Consider the following 19,821-nt stretch of genomic DNA (forward strand, 5'->3'; position numbering starts at 1 on the left):
GACAGCTGACCAGTTGCCTTCCATGCTGAAAGACAAACCCAAGAGCTTGGAGCACATACGACAGCTCATTGTACTAAATCATAAACACAAAGTCGAAAATGGAAGACTAATCTCATGCTGTGACCTAAACGAATGTCAAAGAAGTCTGTACTGAGTTCACTCTGCAGTCCCTCAAAATTCAAGTCCACCGGAACCTGAGGACGTGACCTTCCTTGGAAATAGGACCTGTGGAGATGTAATTAGTTAAGATTTGGTCAGAGAGAACTGAGGTGGGCTCTAAATCCAGTAACTGGTGGCCTTTTAAGAGAAAAAAAGACAGAGACACCGATACGCAGGGAGAACGCCACAGGACACAGGTGCCCGAAGCTGGAGTGATGCGTCTATGAACCACAGAACAGCAAGGACTGCTGGTAATCACCAGAGGCTAGGACAGGCATGGAACACATTCTCCTTCAAGGTTTCTGGAAGGAACCAACTTTGCCAACACCTTGATTTCAGATTCTAGCCTCAATAACTGTGAGGAAATACATTTCTGTGGTTTAAGCCACCCAGCTGTAGTACTTGGTTGTACAGCGTATTAATAGAGGATCCAAACCATGAAAGCAAAGGATTCAGAAAGGGATATGGGGCTATTTAGGCTACATTCATATACCTAAGGCACAAAAGTGGCTTATTCCATAGATTAAAGTTGGCCAAGAATTCTTTGCTCTCTTGCCCCTGAGGATATGATATGCCCTTCTCGTGGATCTGGAAAGTTCTCTGTTCCGTAAGCCATAAAATATGGCAGAAGTGAGAGTGTGACAGTTTCCAGGCCCAGGTTTTAAGAAACTAGCAACTTCTGCTCTCTATCCCCGGAGCGCTTCTTAGAGTCCTGCATGACTCTGTAAGAATCTGAAGTGGCCACACTGGAATGTCTATGCAGAGAGGCCCTGAGACCACATGAACACAGAGAGATGCCCTGCCAGCCCCTGGCTTGCTCTTCCCGCCCTGAGACAACATGAACACCGAGAGATGCCCTGCCAGCCCCTGGCTTGCTCTTCCCGCCCCCCAATAATTCCACAGGAAACCCCAGACACCCAGGAGCAGAGACAAGTGGTCCTGCCACACCCAGACCAAACTGCTGATTCGTAAGCAAAATAAATGACTCTTGTAGTTTTCAGCTGTTGAGTTTGGAGATGTTTTGTTTTACAGCAATAGATAATCAGGGCAGCTTATGACTCTCAGCCTTTAATATAAAAGTAGAAGCAAAATATGTTACACCTTTAAAAGGAAACATTAGAGAAAATTCAGATCAAAGCAATAAGAAATGTTAATGGTCCTGGCAGGGGGGCAGAGAGGTGGCCAGTTATGGAAACTGTGGTATTTAACCTGAAACTTTAGAATGCCCAAGCATCTAATGGGGGTGGAAAGATGGGAATGACCAAAGTGCCCTGCCTCTGCTGGAAGCTGAACAAGATGACTGGGTTCTAAATGAGGAAGAATCTCTGTTGTAGCTTGAAATACTAGAATGAGCCCCTGGCGGTGGCAGGAACCTAACACCCTCTGGAGACAAAACCAAGAATAAGATCACAAAACACAGGTGCCAAGGGGGGTTTGAGTGTCACAGACATGAACTCAGCCAACGTCTCTCTGCAGCCACTCACTCAATATCCAAAATACAATATGTTATTGTCTCGAGCCTTAGGGCACTTGTCGGAAGGCTCCTTGTATTAAATTGCCACGTGAGATAAAAACAGGCAGAACAGCCTTTCATGTCACTGAACTGTGATAAAAAATAACTTGCCACTTAGCTTCCTTCTGCCTGCAAAGCATCAAAGGCACCTAAGACATGAATTTTCTGTGAGCCAGAGAGGGGCAAGATAGACAGATGTTCAGCAATACTCTAATCGTCAGGAGGAAAGGTTTGAAAGGTATAAAGTCAGTCTGCCCCAGTTGCTGAATCCAGGAGTGACTCTTCCAGGGGTCCCAGTGACTTGTGGAGCCCAGAGCGGGTAGGTCTACGTGGAGGGATGATCAGCCCACTGTGGCCTTGCCCTCTGGTGAATTCCTATGACAACTGTAACACCATGTAACTTTCATGTCAGTTTAACCAACCGCCTAGATCATCAAGGCCCTGGACAAGAGCTAGGCTGCAAACATCACTCCATCCACTACGTCAGAGACAAGCTCTGGCCCCACAGTGTGTGTGCAAGAACCAAGCCTGCTTGACAGGTGATAGTCAGGCTCCCTTCGCTTTCCAGAAACAAGCTCAGGGACCTCAGGGGACAGATACAGATACGTGCATTAAAATTACACAGGGGAACAAGACAGTCCAGGATGCTTGTGATGGGTAATTTCATGTGTCAACTTAGCTGGGCACAGTGTCCAGATATTTGGTCAAACATTAATCTGGGCCAGGCACAGTAGCTCATGCTGTTAGTGGCTCCCTAAGGTGTCCCTTTTCTTCCTGGAAACATCTGTGGCTGCAGCACCTTGGCCTGAGTTCTCACCTGCATCCAGGAAGAATGAGGTACGCAGACAAGTGAAGGGTGAACAAGACGAAGATGAGCTTTATTGAGTGTTACAACAGCTCAGAGGAGACCCGTAGCGGGTGACTCCTTTCTGTAGGCAGGCCGTCTGTCAAGAGTTCAGTTCTCTGCAGAGAGAAGGCCCTGGAGAGGGTGGCTCCTCTCTGCCAGTAGGATGTCTCCGCAACTCTCAGCAGAGAGAATAGCTCCTCTCTGCAACTAGTTGTTCCATCATCTCCAGCTATCAGCAGAGAGGGTACTCCACTCTGCAGCTCATCATCCCATCTCTCTGCCCTCTTCGTCCCCTGGCCATCTCGTCTCTGCCCACTTCGTCCTCTGGCCATCCTCTCCCTGCTCTGGCTGAGCCCAGGGCTTTTATGGACCTCAGAGGGGAGAAAGTACATGCCAACTGGTCCATGGGTGGCCATGGGCAGCCATGGGCGGGCCTGGAAGAGGCGCCATGAGTCCCCACTCTGGTCAGTGGGACTGGCAGCCCGGCCCTCAGCCTTCAGGCCCTCCCTGGCCTAAAGATGGGGCCTTACTGGGGCCTGCCCCCCTTCTAGCAGGACTCTCTCTCCTGCTGCCATTCAGGGCCCCAAGGCTTGGCCCCAAACCCTGCTCCAGGATTGGAGAGGGCACTGGGAGAGGAGAGAGGCCAGACAGCAGGAACAGACATCCTCAAGCCAGTAAGGGTACAAGGGAGGCCCTTCCTGGGCCCCCAAGGATGCAGGCTGCACCAGGGAGTTCCCACCCCATCAACTCAGAAGGGGCAGGGTTCCTGCTTGTCCCCGGCTCCTGCCTGCTCCGTGGAGCAGGAGGCCCAGGGTCTGCAGCTGTGGGTCAGGCGGCTGCAGCTGCACCCACACCCACACCCAGCAGGGCAAATCCTGCCTGCTCCCAGCCCCGTCTAAGACCACAGGGAGGCTTGGATCCACAGCCGCAGTTTGGGCAGCTGTGGCCCCGCCAAGGAGGGCAGGCTCCTGCCTGCTTGATAGAGCAGGAGGCCTGGGTCTGGACTGCGGTTTGGGTGACTGCAGCAGCACCCGGGGAGCTCCTACTCCACCTCAGAAGGGGCGGGGCTCCCACCAGCTCCATGGAGTGTGCAGCCCCAGTCAAGCCTCCCTGCTGCAGCCACTGCCATCAATGCCTGTAATCCCAACACTTTAGGAGGCCAAGGCAGGCAGACTGCTTGAGCTTAGGAGATTGAGACCAGCCCGGTCAACCTTGCAAAACCATGTCTCTACAAAAAATACAAAAATTAGCTGGGCATGGTGATCACATGCCTGTGGTCCCAGATACTTGAGAGGCTGAGGTAGGAGGATGGCTTGAGCCTGGGAGGTGGAAGTAGCAGTGAGCCAGGATCGTGCCACTGCACTCCAGCCTGAGTGACACAGGGAGACCTTGCCTCAAAAAACAAACAAACAAAAAAACACCCTCACATGTTTCTGTGAGGGTGCTTTTTAGGTGAGCTTAGTATTTACATTGGTGGCCTCTGAATAAAGCAGATTGCCCTCTGTAATGTGGGTGGGCCGCTCCAGTCCATTGAAGGCCTCAATGGAACAAAAGACTGACCTCCTCTTGAGCAAGAAGCAATTATGATGGCAGTCATCTTCACACTTGAACTGCAATATTGGCTCTTCCCTCATCTCCGGCCTGATGGCCCACCCTGCAGATTTTGAAGTTGCCAGCCTCCCAAATTCCGCGAACCAATTCCTTAAAACAAACTTCTCTCTCTGTGTGCACGGGTGCATATGTATGTGTATACAGGCACACGCACATACACATCCTACTGGTTCCATCTCTCCGAAGAACCCTGACTAGCACAGCACCATAGCAGTTCTCATGGCCTCCTCTCACACAGGAGCCCAACGGTCTGTGACTTAGCTGCTTACCCTCTAACTGCTAGCAGCAATCAACTTCTCCACTAACCGCTTCTCCAGCTCTTGGCCTCTGCTCGCTGTTTTGTTCAGTCTCTACATGCTCCCCACTCCTACTCCAAAAGGGGCCAATGACCTCATTCTAACCCAGTGGCCCTCCTGAGTGGAATTCCCACTGGAGACCACCTCAAAGTCCAAAGGGCTTCAAGGACAAGGCAGTGACAGCTGGTCTCATCACCTTTGGTCAGGTTAGAGGAATCACAAGGTACAAAACTCACTGAACTGGTCATTACTGGCCTCCCCCCACTCCACCACCACCCCTACCGCTTTCTTTAAAAATCACTAGTGAGTAGGGTAGGAGGTGTTCAGAGACTTCTGAGACACTGCCGTGTTACTGGCAGGCACTTTCAGGCAAAATACAGACTCCCACATTCTACCAAGAGCACGGTTGCTAAGATTGCCACTTTCAGGGAAGGACAGATAGGACACATCTACTTAGGGTGTGGGACAAGGAGAATGTCTCCTCACCTTCACACAAACCTTTGTTAGAGCTAGGGATGCAGCTCCCACATTAAGGGGTAGGATGGACAGGAGAACTTTTTCAGAGGCTCCCCCGCTGATACCCACCTCTCCCATTCTGGCCTACCCAGGCTGACAAACTAGAAGGGTGACGATGGCAGCTTTGAGGTTCTCCCCTCTCTGAGACCTCAGTTTGACACATCTGGGAATCTCTGATCATTTGCCTGAGCACCTACTTTGTGCTACACTCTGCCGGGCACTTTTACTTCTATCATTCATCAAGGTAAGAAGTTGTGATATTTCCACTTTACATACGAGAGATGTAATGTGACTTGCCCAAGGACTGGAACTGAGGTCGCTGCTCTTTCTACTGAATAGTGCTGTGTTCTGGTGACTCATCCAAGTGAATAAATTCATCGAGTCCTCATTGGGGTACTGCACAGGCCAGGGGCCACGTAGGAGTGAGGCATACAGAGATCAAGAGTCTCAGCCATACTTCTAGGAGGGCGAGACAGCCATGGCCTTGGCAGCCACTGCCGCCCCAGCTCCCTGCACAAGAATTGGCACCTGGTATGATAGTTGGCGGTCAAATTCCCTGGGCCAGAATCAACCACTTCACACGCGTGTGACTTCTCATGATGGTCTTTTTTGCTGTATCAACTTGGAGAAGCTACAGTTCCCAGTTTCTGAGAGGTATTTTGTAGATGTGGATAAAGTTCATTATTAGTTGTCTTTAAGTAAGAGAGATTACAGAGATCATCTGGATGGGATAGATTCAACAGAAAGGTCTAAAGAGTAGAGCCAAGGCTTCCTTAAGGAAGAAATTCCATCTGTAGATGGCCACTTCTGTGTCTGCTCCATGGATCCTGGACCTGCCTGAATAGCCCCCACAATCATATAAGCCAACTCCCCCTAATAAATCTCTTAATGTAGATCTCCTATGGTTCTGTTTCTCTGGTTGAACCCTAGCTAGTACACCTCTCTTTGCCTTAACCTCTTTATGCCTCAGTTTCTTGTCTTAATATAGGGAAAATAATAGTATCTACCTCACAGAGTTGACTTGAGGATAGCACAAGGAAAGTATTGAGCCCAGGTACTTGGTAAGATCCTAACAAGTATGAAATATTATTATTCATGTAGTAATAGCTATTATTATTAATAAAGTCATGCCCTTAAGAAAGAAGGTTATGGACTAATGGGGATATTAGAAAAAATAATTACAGCTGGGCACGGTGGCTCACGCCTATAATCCCAGTGCTTTGGGAGGCTGAGGCGGGTGGCTCATGAGGTCAGGAGTCCAAGATCAGCCTGGCCAATATGGTGAAACCCCGTTTCTACTAAAAATAGAAAAATTAGCCGGGTGCCGTGACGCATGCCTGTAGTCCCAGCTACTCAAGAGGCTGAAGCAGAAGAATCGCTTAAATCCGGGAGGCGGAGGTTGCAGTGAGCCGAGATCACGCCACTGCACTCCAGCCTGGGAGGCAGAGCGAGACTCCATCTCGGGAGAAAAAAAAAAAATTTCAACATAAAGAAATATTTGCTAAAAATATAGATAGGTATAAAGTACACCAGGCACTAGGAAAAGAAGTACCTAAGTGTGCCCAGGACACAGTGAGAAGCCGCTGTAAGTGTACAATGCAGTTGGCCCAAGTTCCCCCTTGCTTCTGCTTTGGGACTTTAACTCCTAAGGAGATGGTGCAAGGTGAGAAACTCCTTCCTCTCAAAGGCTTTTTAAACCTAATCTATAGAGAAGTATCTCCCAGTGGTTATAATCCTTTCAGTGGGAAATCACTCATTTACTCAAATTTTTGCTGAGCATCTTTCAAGTGCTAGGTGCTGTGCTAAGGGCTTGGGAATAAACAGGTTAAACCAAAAACACCTTTAGATGGAGGAAGACAAGGGGTCAGACAATAAACACATAAACAAATACCTAATTTCCAGGTGTAACATGTAAATGAACAAAAAGAGCCTGGTGAGAGAATAAACTGAGAGTTTATTCTCCTACCTCCCCCACCCCACCCAGCCATGCCGTGCTCCCAGCAGGTTGAGACCACAACAGAGCATTCTCCTGCCAGGGCAGCAGTTGGACAATGAGTTGAGGATTGGTGGGGGACATATCTCGGTGTTGGGCTTTTGTTGTTGTTCACCTGAGATGCCCTTAGTGGACAACCAAATCCAATGACTCTCAAACTGTGTTCTCAAAGGATCCCATGGTGTTCCACAGACCACACAAATGTTTGTTTCAAAGTTCACAGATGCAGAGGCTGATAAGGGATTGTAGGGGTGCTCATAAGTTCTCATTCTCACTATTCCAGCCAACCTGCTTCACTATCAACAAATGCCCCTTTTACCTTCTAAAGTAAATCTGCTCTCATAAAACACCAACTTCACCTGTTCTTACACAGTAAGTATCTAATATTTTTACTCACAAACAACCCACTCTATTGCTTTAAAAACATTTGGAAATGACTGCTATTAACTAATTCCACATTAACATTTTTTGAAAACCGATGTTTGAAACTGACTTATTTTCAGAGATGGCAAATTGCTACTAAAAATACATTTTATGGTTACTTGTCATCATCTATCCAAAAAGTACACAGGAAAATTAATTAAGGACCTTTTAAAAACTAATCACTCTGTTCACACAAAGGGTAAATTCACTTTATACCCTAAATGTGGTTTCCCTGGTGATGGGATTGTCTGTATTCAATTCTGCCAGTACAGATCACTACCTTAAAATTGATCAGCTAATAAAATTTGTTAGGGTGACAGTTTACAGTTACTGCTTCCATAACAAAGGCTGTACATGAATTTCTAACCAGGTATTTACTCCATCCACATGAAACAAGATCACACCAAATCATCCTGAAAGGAGAGAATACTGAGTTAATATCCATTTATAAAGATGGGAACTTCATTAAAGGGTCTTCCGTATGTGTGTGTAGTAAGTAAATATAACATTGCAATTACATGAAGAAACATATAAATTCACATAGGTGAGATGACATAAACACACATCTCCCTCCACATATCAGACTCTGTAAAAGGTTTATTTAAAATCATATTAAATTACACAGCCTCAACCCAGTTAATCTATCCAGTAAACCAGTGCAGCAAACAGCTTTCCTCTGTCAGGAGAGTGTGTACCTGGAAGCAAAAGTCAACAATGAAAAAATGTTTCAAAGAAGGATAATTCCTATTTGTTTATAAATTTTCACTGGATGCTTAACTAAATCTCTATTTGTGCTTCACACACACCCAATATTCAACAGCACCACCTTTTCCCTCATCATGCTACGAATCCAAAGCCTCCCTACTGAATTAAGTGTTGTTTTTTAAGTCTCAAATGTCACAACTGAAAAAAAGTATTCAGTATAAACATGTATTAGGGTTGCATTTCTTCAGAAAACATCTAGCAAGGAAGAATTTTATTAAAATCACATTGTACTTGTACCAATTGAACTTGTGTCTATTGAAGTAAGTGTGAGCCGCGTTAAAAACTATTGTAATAACTAGACATAGAAAAGTTAAAGGCCAGGTGCAGTGGCTCACCCCGTAATCCCAGCACTTCGGGAGGCCAAAGCAGGAGAATCACTTGAGGCCAGGAGTTCGACACCAGCCTGCACAACATAGCAAGACCCCATATTTACAAAAAACTTTAAAAAAAATTAGCCAGGTATAGTGGCATATGCCTATACTCCTAGCTACTCAGGAGGCTAAGGCAGGAGGATTGCTTAAGCCCAGGAGTTGGAGGTTGCAATGAGTCATGATTGATCTGCTATACTCCAGCCTCCAACAGAGTGAGACCCCCAACTCTAAAAAAAAAAAAAAAGTTAAAATAGAAAAAAAAATACAATACAATAAATACCATACATTTCAATCATCATATGCTTAAATAACTGAGAGGATCAAATTAATTTTTTAAAATATACTAGATTTCATTTATAAAACAATTCAAGTGGCACATTAATAGGCTTACACTATCATCACTTTTCCCCATGGTCACATAGTCATCTAGATGTACACTCACCAAATGCTATCAGTCAGAGAACATTAAATGAGTACCTGACAACCCTCAACCAATTGCCAGGTCTCCTCTCTGACATACAATCCACATAGTTACCTAAGCAACCCTTGAATACCTCCATATGCCATTTTAAAAGAGCCCTAACAGCTAGAGAACGAGTCCTTAATTCAATTTGTTCATCAGTATGCCTAGTGATTGTGCAAGGGCTGAAAGATGCAAAGATGAATAAGATGTGACCTTTCACATAGGTATCTGTGGTCTGGCACATAGAAGGTGCTCAATTACTACCTGCAGAATGAAGGTAGGAGTGGGTGAGTAAGCAAGCTCACAGTCTAGGGCAGTGCTATCCAAGAGAAAGATAAGCCAAGCCACAAATGGGAGACACATACATAACTTTACGTTTTCTAGTAGGCGAATTTAAAAGGTAGAAAGACCTCCTCCCAACCTGTCCACAGCCCAGGCAAGGAGCAATAAATAATAAATAGGTAAAAAGAAATAGGTAGAATAAATTCTAAAATACTTTATTTAACTGAATGGATATAAAATATTATGATTTCCTTAGTATATGAGTATTAAAAATTATGACACATTTTACCTTGTTTTGTACGAAGTCTTTGGAATCTAGAGTGCGTGTTATATTACAGCACATCTCCATTCATACTGTGCACATTTCGAAGCTCATTTTGACTAGGCCCTTTTTAATTTAATTTGTATGTGTGTATGTGTGTGTGTGTGTGTGTGTGTGTGAAATGGAGTTTGGCTCTATCACCTAGGCTGCAGTGCAGTGGCATGATCTTGGCTCAGTGCAGCCTCCACTGCCCAGGCTCAAAGGATTCTCCCACCTCAGCCTCCCAAGTAGCTGGAACCACAGGTTCATGCCACCACACCCAGCTACTTTTTTGCATTTTTGGTAGAGATGGGGTTTCATTAAGACAATGATTGCCCAGGCTTGTCTTAAACTCCTGAGCTCAGGCGATCCTCTCATCTCAGCCTCCCAAAGTGATGGAATTATAGGCATGAGCCACCACGCCCTGCCCCTTTTTTAATTCTATAAAGACACCATGGTCAATGAAAGCAGTTGGGCCTGAAGAAACAGGAAGTGTTGACAGCTTGAACATATGGAAGGGATAAATGGATGCAGGAAGAGCTCATGGGATCACCTTGACAGTTGCTGTAGTTGCAGGTTGGCCAATGTGAGATCTAGTACTGCCATCAATTGTCTTTGCAATTTAACCTAAATTGTGCTTAAGCGCCTTGACGTGAGTCTCTATTGTTACAGTGTTCTGTTGAGTCGTGGTTAGGGCATCATAAAGTCTCTGATCCAAAAAATGGTCCAAATCGTTCTTCAACGCACTGAAGGATCACTTTCTGCTGACCGATGGTTGCTACAAGAGCACTGGAAACGATCGCAAGGTTTGATATGTACAGTTTGATATCGTCAAGGGCAAGATCAGATCTCAAGTTGATGCCTTGGACTAGGTTCTCCATCGAAAGACCCGCCATCTTTGTTGGTTTGGACGCAGAGTGAGTGATCATACATCTGTGCTCTGGCCATTGTCCACCAAAGCCTTCACATCATTCATCAATCAGTGCTTTCTCTTGCTTTGGAAGTGCCATCTGTCTGCGCTTCTCCTCCTTGGCTGTTTCTGGGTTCTTCCTTGTTTGCCAGCGGATATCTTGCAGTTGCGGGTATATCATCCCATCTCACTCGATAAAACCTCCTGCATCACCATCATAGATCTTAAGCCTTCTTGTACGCTCAACTGTTTCCTAGTGGAGCCAAGATATGAATGTTTCCATATCAAGTAAAGTATGGAACATTTCTGTTTTGGCAGAAAGTTCTGCTGAGCAATGGGCCTCCCAACAGAGGAGGTCCTAAGTCCCCAGTGAGGACAAGAAGGGGCACTGAGGGTTGGGGGATGGAGGAGTGCACACTGCAGGAAGCTGGGCTTGTGGGCCACCCAGGAGAGTTTGACCTTTATCCTATGGACAGTGGGGAATCAAAAAGGTTTGGGGATTTTTTTGTTTGCTTTAAGAGCAGAAAGGTGACATGATAAAATGTTCCTATTTAGGAAGGTGGTTTTCTGGAGATAGAGCAAGGCATGAACTCAAAGAGTGATTGACAATGGCAATGGAGGAGACAGACTGGAAACACAGATGCACAGGCCAGAATCAATCCACAAGGAAGTATCTTCCAGTCCAAGAATTTTTTTTTTAAGAAAAAGTCTTGCACAGTCGCCTAGGGTGGAGTGCAGTGGGGCAATCGTTGCTCATTGCAACTTCAAACACCTGGGCTCAAGCAATCCTCCCACTTCAGCCTCCTGAGTGGTTGGGACTACAGGCATGAGCCACCACACTTAGCAAATCTGTAAATTTTTTGTTGAAATGGAGTCTGTGTTGCCAGGGCTGGTCTTGAACTCCTGGACTCAAGCAATCCTCCCATCTCGCCTCCCAAAGTGCTGGGATTACAGGCGTGATTCACTGCACCCAGCCCCATAAGACTTCTTACTCAATGCAATAAATGACTCTTTATTCTGAGATTATATTCCTTTTGGGGGCATTAAGATGTTTTTATGAGATAGTGGAAACCAGAGATTATGACTACTTTCAAAATGTCCTTTCTGGGTAAATTTTAAAATAGCAATACTATGTTACTCCCAAAATTCTATTTCTAAAACTTCGTTTGCAAGTAAAATCCAAAATTCTGGGAACCACTGTCTTAAACAACTTCTGGAGCTTATTAAGATGACTATAGGGTCCAATGTACATATATTATTCTGTATAGTTATTTTCCTACTCATTTTATGCATACATGTCCATGTAGTAATAATACCGACATGACTCTTATCTTAAATTACTATATAGTGATTTAGAATCTAAAATGTATTATTGTTTAGTCATTCCCTTAATGTCTTGTATTGAATCTATGCCTTTATTAGTATGAATAGCTTTATCCAAATTAATTTTCTTCCTCCTAGCCCCAGTTCCATAAATTGTTTCCTCAGGTATGATTCCCAGCAGGAAATTTATGGGTCACTGGCAATGCAGTTTGGTTTATGTTTCATTCTTACTATACATCACCAGATTGTAGCAAAAAGACAATCTGCAGCACAGTCAACATTTCTTAATACCCCACCAATAATGGGCTAGAATTAATTCTGATAATTTCACAAACAGTTGCCTTAATTTTCATTTCTTGAATTGCTAGAGAGAATATGTCTGTTCCTCCTGATGATATTGTCTCTGAAATTCCCTATACTCATCTCTCCTAACCACTTCCTGAGAGGATGCTGGGTTCCGACCTTTGGTATCTCAATTCCTCATATTTTGGATAACCATTTAATCTTTCAAACTGTCCCATTATTTTCACCAATGCTGTAGCTTTCCATTTACTGTTTATTCTATTGCCTTTGGCTGGGCTATTTCTCTTTTATTCTCCTGATATTCAGGCACATCTGTCTTGTGTATGATGATTTTCTCCATTGCTTCTGTGGTCATAAGTTTATCTTCCCTGAACAGCTGGGTTAAAAATCCTATTCCATTTTCTTCTCGTTATTTTATAGATAAATACAGTGGAACCTTAAAGCAGTGGCCTTTATGCTCTGAAATTAATAACTGCGGAACTTTCTACTATGAGTGCAATTTGCTCGGATAGCTCCCAAGGTGGACCTGGCCACATCACAAAATGACAAATTCCAAAGAACAGCTACTCATCTCCCATCAGGAGTGAAGGTGGACATGGTGTCTGAAGACTGAAACTTTAAACTCTTCCTAAAGGGGCTCGGCACCCTAAAATTCTCTCCATTACCAGTGTTGGCACTTATATGTCAACAATCTTACTTAAATTTTGAGTAATAAAGGTTATCAATATACAAAAAGCAAGAAGCTGAAGAAATATACTGTCACCCAAGAGTACAAAAGCCAAACCAAATGGCTATAGAGGCATTTCATCTACTTTTTCTTTTTTCTTTTTGAGATGGGGTCTTGCTATGTTGCCCAGGCTGGTTTTGAACTCCTGGCCTCAAGCAATCCTCTCACCTCAGCTTCCCAAGTAGCTGGAATTACAGGTGCATGCCACCGGACCTGGCTTCACCTAATTATTTTTCATATCATGAAACTCTATGGAAAATTTCAATAGCTTTCCCCAACAGATAGACAACAGAGAAAAAACAATACGATAAAGGAAAAAAAAAAGCATACGTGTATTCATTTACAAAATTTAGATCGCTCTGGCCAGCCGCAGTGGCTCATGCCTGTAATCCCAGCACTTTGGGAGGCTGAGGTGGGCGGATCACGAGGTCAGGAGATCAAGACCAGCCTGGCTAACACGGTGAAACCCCGTCTCTACCAAAAATACAAAAAATTAGCCAGGCGTGGTGGTGGATGCCTGTAGTCTCAGCTACTCAGGAGGCTGAGGCAGAAGAATGGCATGAATCCGGGAGGCAGAGCTTGCACTGAGCTGAGATCAAGCCACTGCACTCCAGCCTGGGCAACAGAGTGAGACTCTGTCTCAAAAAAAAAAAAAATTTTTTTTAGATTGCTCTGTATAGATTTTTACGTATCTACATCTGTAATACACAGGGAAAAAAACCCAAAAGCAAATTCACTGAAAGGTTAACAGTGGTTATCTGTAGGGAGGTACAATTGTAGGTAATTTTAATTTTCTTTATACATTTTTTGCAATATAAACTTGCATTATAGAATTTATATAAATAAAACTTCTTTGTACACCCATACACAAAAGCCATACTTATTTTAAAAATTTGAATTCTTTTTAAATGAAGGTAGAAAACATTCTGTTGAATCAAACGCTACTAATTAATCATGCTAAAGTACCTCAACTTTTATTTAGGTCACTGCTCACTACACACAAGTCCTACATTTTTTTTTCATACATACAGGCTTCCTATCATTTATAACAGTAAGTCCACAGAGATTCATTATAATACAATAAAGAATATTATCAAAATACCATAAACTTTCAACTGCCTTTGTTCAAGGTTATGGTCTCAAATTACTTATAAACTAATCTGCGATGAGGTCTACATAAAAGTGAAATGATGGTATCATAGTTAAGTGTTGTGTCATTTTATCACTGCCAGTTAATGTAATGGTATTTATCTAACAGGAACTTTTTATAAAACTTAACTATTCTTTAAAATACTCTAGCAGGAAAAATAAAGTGGTGGGGGAAATAAAAACAGATAAAACAAGAACAATGGAAAGTTGGAATTGTTAAAGTAAGGTGATGGATATAGGGTTGCATTACTATTCTATTTTGCATATATTTGAAAATTTTCCATTATACAATGTTTTGAAAAGGTGCTAAGAAAATGAAAAGAAATATAAACCTGTGCACAATCATTCATCATATCAACTAACGTAACACAATTAAGCTAATAGCTACTTTTTCTTTTTCTTTTTTCTGAGACACAGTCTCACTCTGCTGCCCAGGCTGGAGTGCACTGGGGCTATCTTGGCTCAATGCAGCCTCCCGCTCCTAGGATCAAGCGATTATCCTGCCTTAGCCTCCTAAGTAGCTGGGACTACAGTCACGCGCCACCATGCCCAGCTAATTTTTGTGTTATTAGTAGAGATGGAGTTTCACCATGTTGGCCAGGCTGCTCTCGAACTCCTGACCTCAAGTGATCCACCCACCTTGGCCTCCCAAAGTGCTGGGATTACAGGCATGGGCCACCAGGCCCGGCCCAGTTTTTCCTTTTTAACACATCAGGGTGACTATTTCAAAGTAAGCATTCTACCTGAAAATTCCAATAGAATTCTGACTCTCTACTTTTTCTTTATTAGGCAAGACACAGTATATACATGTAAAATCTTTCAAGAAAAAAAAATTGTCTTTCATATGCATCTACAGATTTGATTCGGATTTCAGACTGTCCTTCCTGGGCCAGATTCAGAACCAAGATAGTCAGCTAACAGAGCACTACCTGGCTTGTGACATTTAAAAACTAAAGCCAGACGCATGCTAACTCAAGCAGCGGCAAGACCCTAGTCGAGGAGTCTCATTCTGTGTGACACGGAGGAAGAGCCCTGCCACTTTCTCTAAGAGGAAAGCAAACTGGTCTGTACCCAAGTAAGCTGCAGAGCAAAAAACCTCAGCACTCAAAGGAAGTAGGCAACCAAAACCACCATCATTTATTTGAGAGTCTGTTCTCTATAACAGCTGCAGAGGATGACAGGGATACTAAGGATCTGGGATCCCCAAACTGATGACTTCTCAGTGCATCAAAAGCGAAATTTAAACATAACCTCGCCTCACTTTTATAAGGCACAATTAAAGAGTTTTCATTGTCACAAATGATCCTATTTCCCCAGAGAAGGCTGGCAAAGCCTGTTTTATTTCCATTTTACAGGTGTAGAAACTGAGGTTCGGGGCTGTCAGAAGACTTGCTCTTAAACAAGTCTTCTGACTTCAAGGACAGTATTCTTTTCACTACCCAACCCTCCCCTTGGAGTGTGTCTATGAGGGGAAGCAGGAGAGGAGAGAAAGAAAGTGAAGCAGGGCAGAAAACAGGGGGTATCTGCGTTATGTCTAGCACTTCCTGAGTTTCAAAACACCCAAAGTTATTTTCTTATTATCCATGAGGTTTGGCCTAGTCTTTGCTATGAGCGTGGATTTAACTGTACTTCATTTACATCCATATTTTTGTAGGCTTGCTTTCTCTGCTTTCCGAGTTCTCAGAGTAGTCTCCTAACAATTCACTTAACCTAAGAAATAGGAACAATTAACTTTTTTTAAACCAGGAAGGACCGTCACAGCCGTGTGGCTGGGAGGTTTGCTGCTGGTCCTCTCTCCATAAATCAAGACGGCGCAAAGGAAGAGGAGTCGGCAGAGCGACTGTCACAGCCCCCAACTCCCCGGGGCTGCTTAACCTAGTAGGAGAGCAAAGCCTACCTCTCTGACTTCGTGAAGCTGGCCGGAATACTGACTCTTGGCTCTTCGGGCGGCTGCAGGCGACTTGTGATGCGTGATTGTGACAACACCGGGGGCCCCCACACTGAGGTGTCTCTGGCTACAGGGAGACGCAGAATTGGGTGTTCCATGTGGGAGCAAAGTGAGACTTCGGCTTCGGGAGCTTGGAGCACTCTAGAATAAGCAACAGGTGTCAAAACTCAACAACTGACCTGCAGAACACAACTAAGTGTTGGCTTCTATTCATTTTGGACCTCTTCATCTTTCCCCTTCCTCTCTTTAGGGAGCTGAAGGTATGAAGGAGGTATAACAACACTGCATGCCCAAATCCCACAGATACTCACTGAACTGCCCTTCCTTAGCTGCCCTTCTGGTTTCATCTCCAATTGTGCTTCCTGTCCTACGCTATGGCCATGAACAGCTATTCAAAATCCTGCCCCCCACCGTCCCCGACCCACACACCATGGACGCTCATGGAGCTCTGCCTCTCTACCTATTATTTCCTGTTCCTAGAATGCCCTTCCTCTGTGGCTGGTCAGCCTCTGCTGAACCTTCAAACTCAGCATGGTGTTCTCTGCTCTGTGAAGCATCTCCCTGGCTTTCTCGGCCTCTCTGCTGCTCTTATTCCACTGCATCAAGATTATATTGATTATCCAGTTACTTTCTTAAGAGATGCTTTCATGCTCATCTTTATATCCCCAAGGCCTGGCACATCACAATTGTTTAATTTATTAAGTGCTTAATAATGTCATCTATATGCACGAACTAAGCTGTCCACCAAGTATTCCTCATTTGTTAGTCCAGTGTTTACATTTCATCCTGTGGTAATATATAATCCAAATTACAATCTAGTTTATGATAAAGATGGCATCTCAACTTAGTGGAGATGAATTTTTCAGTAAATGTTGGGATAACTGGGAAGCCATCTGAATAACAAAGCTGGATTCATCTCTCAGATCACAGATCTCGAATGGATCAAAGATTTAAGAAAAACAAACAGTACTAGAAGAAAACACATAACCATGGGCCTAACACTTTGAAATCCAAAAGCTATACCACAAAAGCTTAGCCGGGTGCGGTGGCTCACACCTGTAATCCCAGCACTTTGGGAGGCCAAGGCGGGCAGATCACCTGAGGTCAGGAGTTCAAGACCAGCCTGACCAACATGGAGAAACCCCATCTCTACTAAAAGTACAAAATTAGCCAGGCATGGTGGCACATGCCTGTAATCGCAGCTACTCAGGAGGCTGAGGCAGGAGAATCACTTGAACCCAGGAGGCGGAGGTTGCAGTGAGCCGAGATCGTGCCATTGCACTCCAGCCTGGGCAACAAGAGCGAAACTCCGTCTCAAAAAAAAAAAAAGAAAAGAAAAAAGAAAAGCTTGATAAATTTGATCACCTAAAAACTGGAAATTTCTGCAAAGGAAACAAACAGACCAACAAAATACCCCACTACGACCACCAGCAAAGCCCAACTATAAACTAGGAAAAATGTAGAGCTGGAAATAATTATTAAAATGGGCCAAGGTATGAAGACAGCTTACAAAAAAAGAAATATAAATGGCTTTTAACACATAGGAAAATATGTTCAACTGTACTCAGAAGATAAATGTAAATTCAAACTACTTTAGATAACCATCTTTCACTCATCAGATTGGCAAAAATTCAAAAGTCTGAGTACACAATCTGTCAACAGGGCCACAGAGAAACGAGTTTGTGGAGGTAAAAAAGGTGGCAAAACCCTGAGAACAGCAATCAGCAGACCCATCACAGATACAAACACATCTCCCCCTGGCTCCAGCAATCCCGTGTCTGGGAATGTATCCTCCAGACATACCTGCAGCTGGGTGAAATGCTATATGTCCCTGTTAGTCACCGCAGCACTATGCCTGATGGCAAAGGACAGAAAACAACCCAAATGTCCGTCAGCATGGGACAGGTTAAATAAATTATGGTACATCTATGTAATGGAATACTACCAAGCTGTAAGAGAATAATGAGAGAGGTCTCTATGAATTGATCTGGAAATATCTCTCAGCTATACAGTTAAGTGAAGGAAGGCACATAATTGATCTATAGTATGCAAAATATAGCTTTTCCAACATGAGGTAAATAAGTATTTTTGTTATTTAGCTTGTTGAAAATTATTTGTTTAAAACAAACATACTGTGGAAGGATACATATAAAACTATAAAGTGGCTGCTTATTTGTGGAGAAGCAGGGAATGAGAGGATAGAAACAGTGAAGAGGGGAGATTTTTTCACTGTCTACTTTTTATATTCTTTCACTTTGAACTATACGTATGTATTCCCTATTGAAAACATTTTAATTTTGCATAAAATTTACATTCTAATTGTTCCTATACTTCATCTCAGCTTGAGAAAAGGCAAGTTAGATAATGTGGAAATCATCTAGTTCCTACAGTTCAAACATTTACTGAATACCTACTATGTGCCTAGGAAAATATCTACTGTGTAGTGTCAGGAAGAAAACAAAATGTATGAGACAGTTTTTCACCATAGATACCTATAATATTGCTGGGGATGTAAGATGCACATATACAGAGACAGACGGAGGGAAACATACACAGATGCACACTTACAAGATGGTGCATAACAGGGGCTAATTTGGCAATACAGCCAGAAAATGTCAAAGAAGTGAGCTCATCTCATCACGGCAGGATGTTCCAAGGGTGATGGGCCTGAAGCCTGAGTAGGCTTTGGGAAGCTAGACAGGCAAGGCAGCACACTACATAGCAACCCAACAGTCTGGATACCCTAGGTAGTCTTAGCCTCAGGCCTCGGCTAACAGGCACAGCTCTAAAAACTGTTAAATGTTAATGATCCATCGTTTTACAGATCACCAGGGGATGAAGGAGTGGGGCGAGAGCCAGGGTAGAAATCAGAGTTTGGGTTTACCTTGAAATACCGCAGATTGTAAAGATTCTCTGGATTTGACTTGGACATAATGAATTGGAATGCAGATAAAGATAGGAAATAACCATATAATAATCACCTACTTTCAGCTTCAATCTTTTCACTTGGAGAGTAGAGGGAGAAAGAGGATATTTCTTTAATAACAGTAAATTTGCCTAAGTATTAAGAGTCCACTGAAATATATTTTGACTGTCAGCGAGGCTTATTCCAGTCCAGGAAAAGGCAGATTTTTCCCTGGGCTTTGAAGCCAGACAGATAAGTTTCATTCTTCATACACACACCTCTATCCCCCCACTCCTCCCCTACCAAACCCCTGCTCTTGCCATGTGATCTGGGGTGAGTTATTTAAGTTTTCTCATTAAACATCAATTTCCTAATCTTTAAAAAGAGAAATAATAATATTGACCCTTAAAAGTCACCATGAAGTTTAAATTAGATTATGCATATACAATACTTAGCACAGTGCCTGACATGCAGAAGCTGCATGGACAAAGTTTGTTTCTTAATATCACTGAAAACTTGAACAATGAAAACCTTATGGATTTTTAAAATGTTAAGAAGTTGCTTAGCACAAAATCATAAGCAGTCGCTGAGTCACTGACCTTCTTATTTTCTACAAGGTCAGACTGGTCAGAAGCCCAAAACATAATTAAATACTTACAGGGTCAGCCATTAAATATCAAGATTGTAGGGAAAACACGCACACGCACACGCACACACACACACACACACACACACACACACACTCTCTCTCTCTTCTAATTCTGAGTAGAAATGAGGACTCTTCAGAAATCAGTGAGGAAGACAGCTCTGGCAATAGACACCTTTGCCTGTAGCAGTATCACCATGAATGGCAATAAATCAGATTCACCCAAGAGCAAAATTATTCCACGGTGGATGTCTAAAACCATGATCGTAATTACTTAATGGCTGTCATTTGAATTTACAAGCAGTAACTTTGAGTCAAAAAACCTTTAATTTTCCATTAACTGGGGATTTTCACAGTGTAATTCACATCC

General features: G+C 43.5%; 1 protein-coding gene across 15 annotated transcripts in view; it reads right to left on the bottom strand.

Annotated features, from left to right (window-relative positions):
* Positions 1-19,821, bottom strand: part of OSBPL10 (oxysterol binding protein like 10) — a 416,868-nt gene that overhangs the window by 153,366 nt on the left and 243,681 nt on the right. For 10 of the 15 annotated variants that reach the window (XM_047447386.1, XM_047447391.1, NM_017784.5 and 7 more), the window contains one exon: positions 15,850-16,041. The exons of the other annotated variants lie outside the window; for them this stretch is intronic. In XM_047447386.1, coding sequence (XP_047303342.1) covers positions 15,850-16,041 — 192 coding nt within the window. The remainder of the gene's footprint in view (positions 1-15,849; positions 16,042-19,821) is intronic. 15 annotated transcript variants of the gene reach the window in all.

This window comes from Homo sapiens, chromosome 3 (assembly GCF_000001405.40).
Source record: "Homo sapiens chromosome 3, GRCh38.p14 Primary Assembly".
NCBI classification, from domain to species: domain Eukaryota; kingdom Metazoa; phylum Chordata; class Mammalia; order Primates; family Hominidae; genus Homo; species Homo sapiens.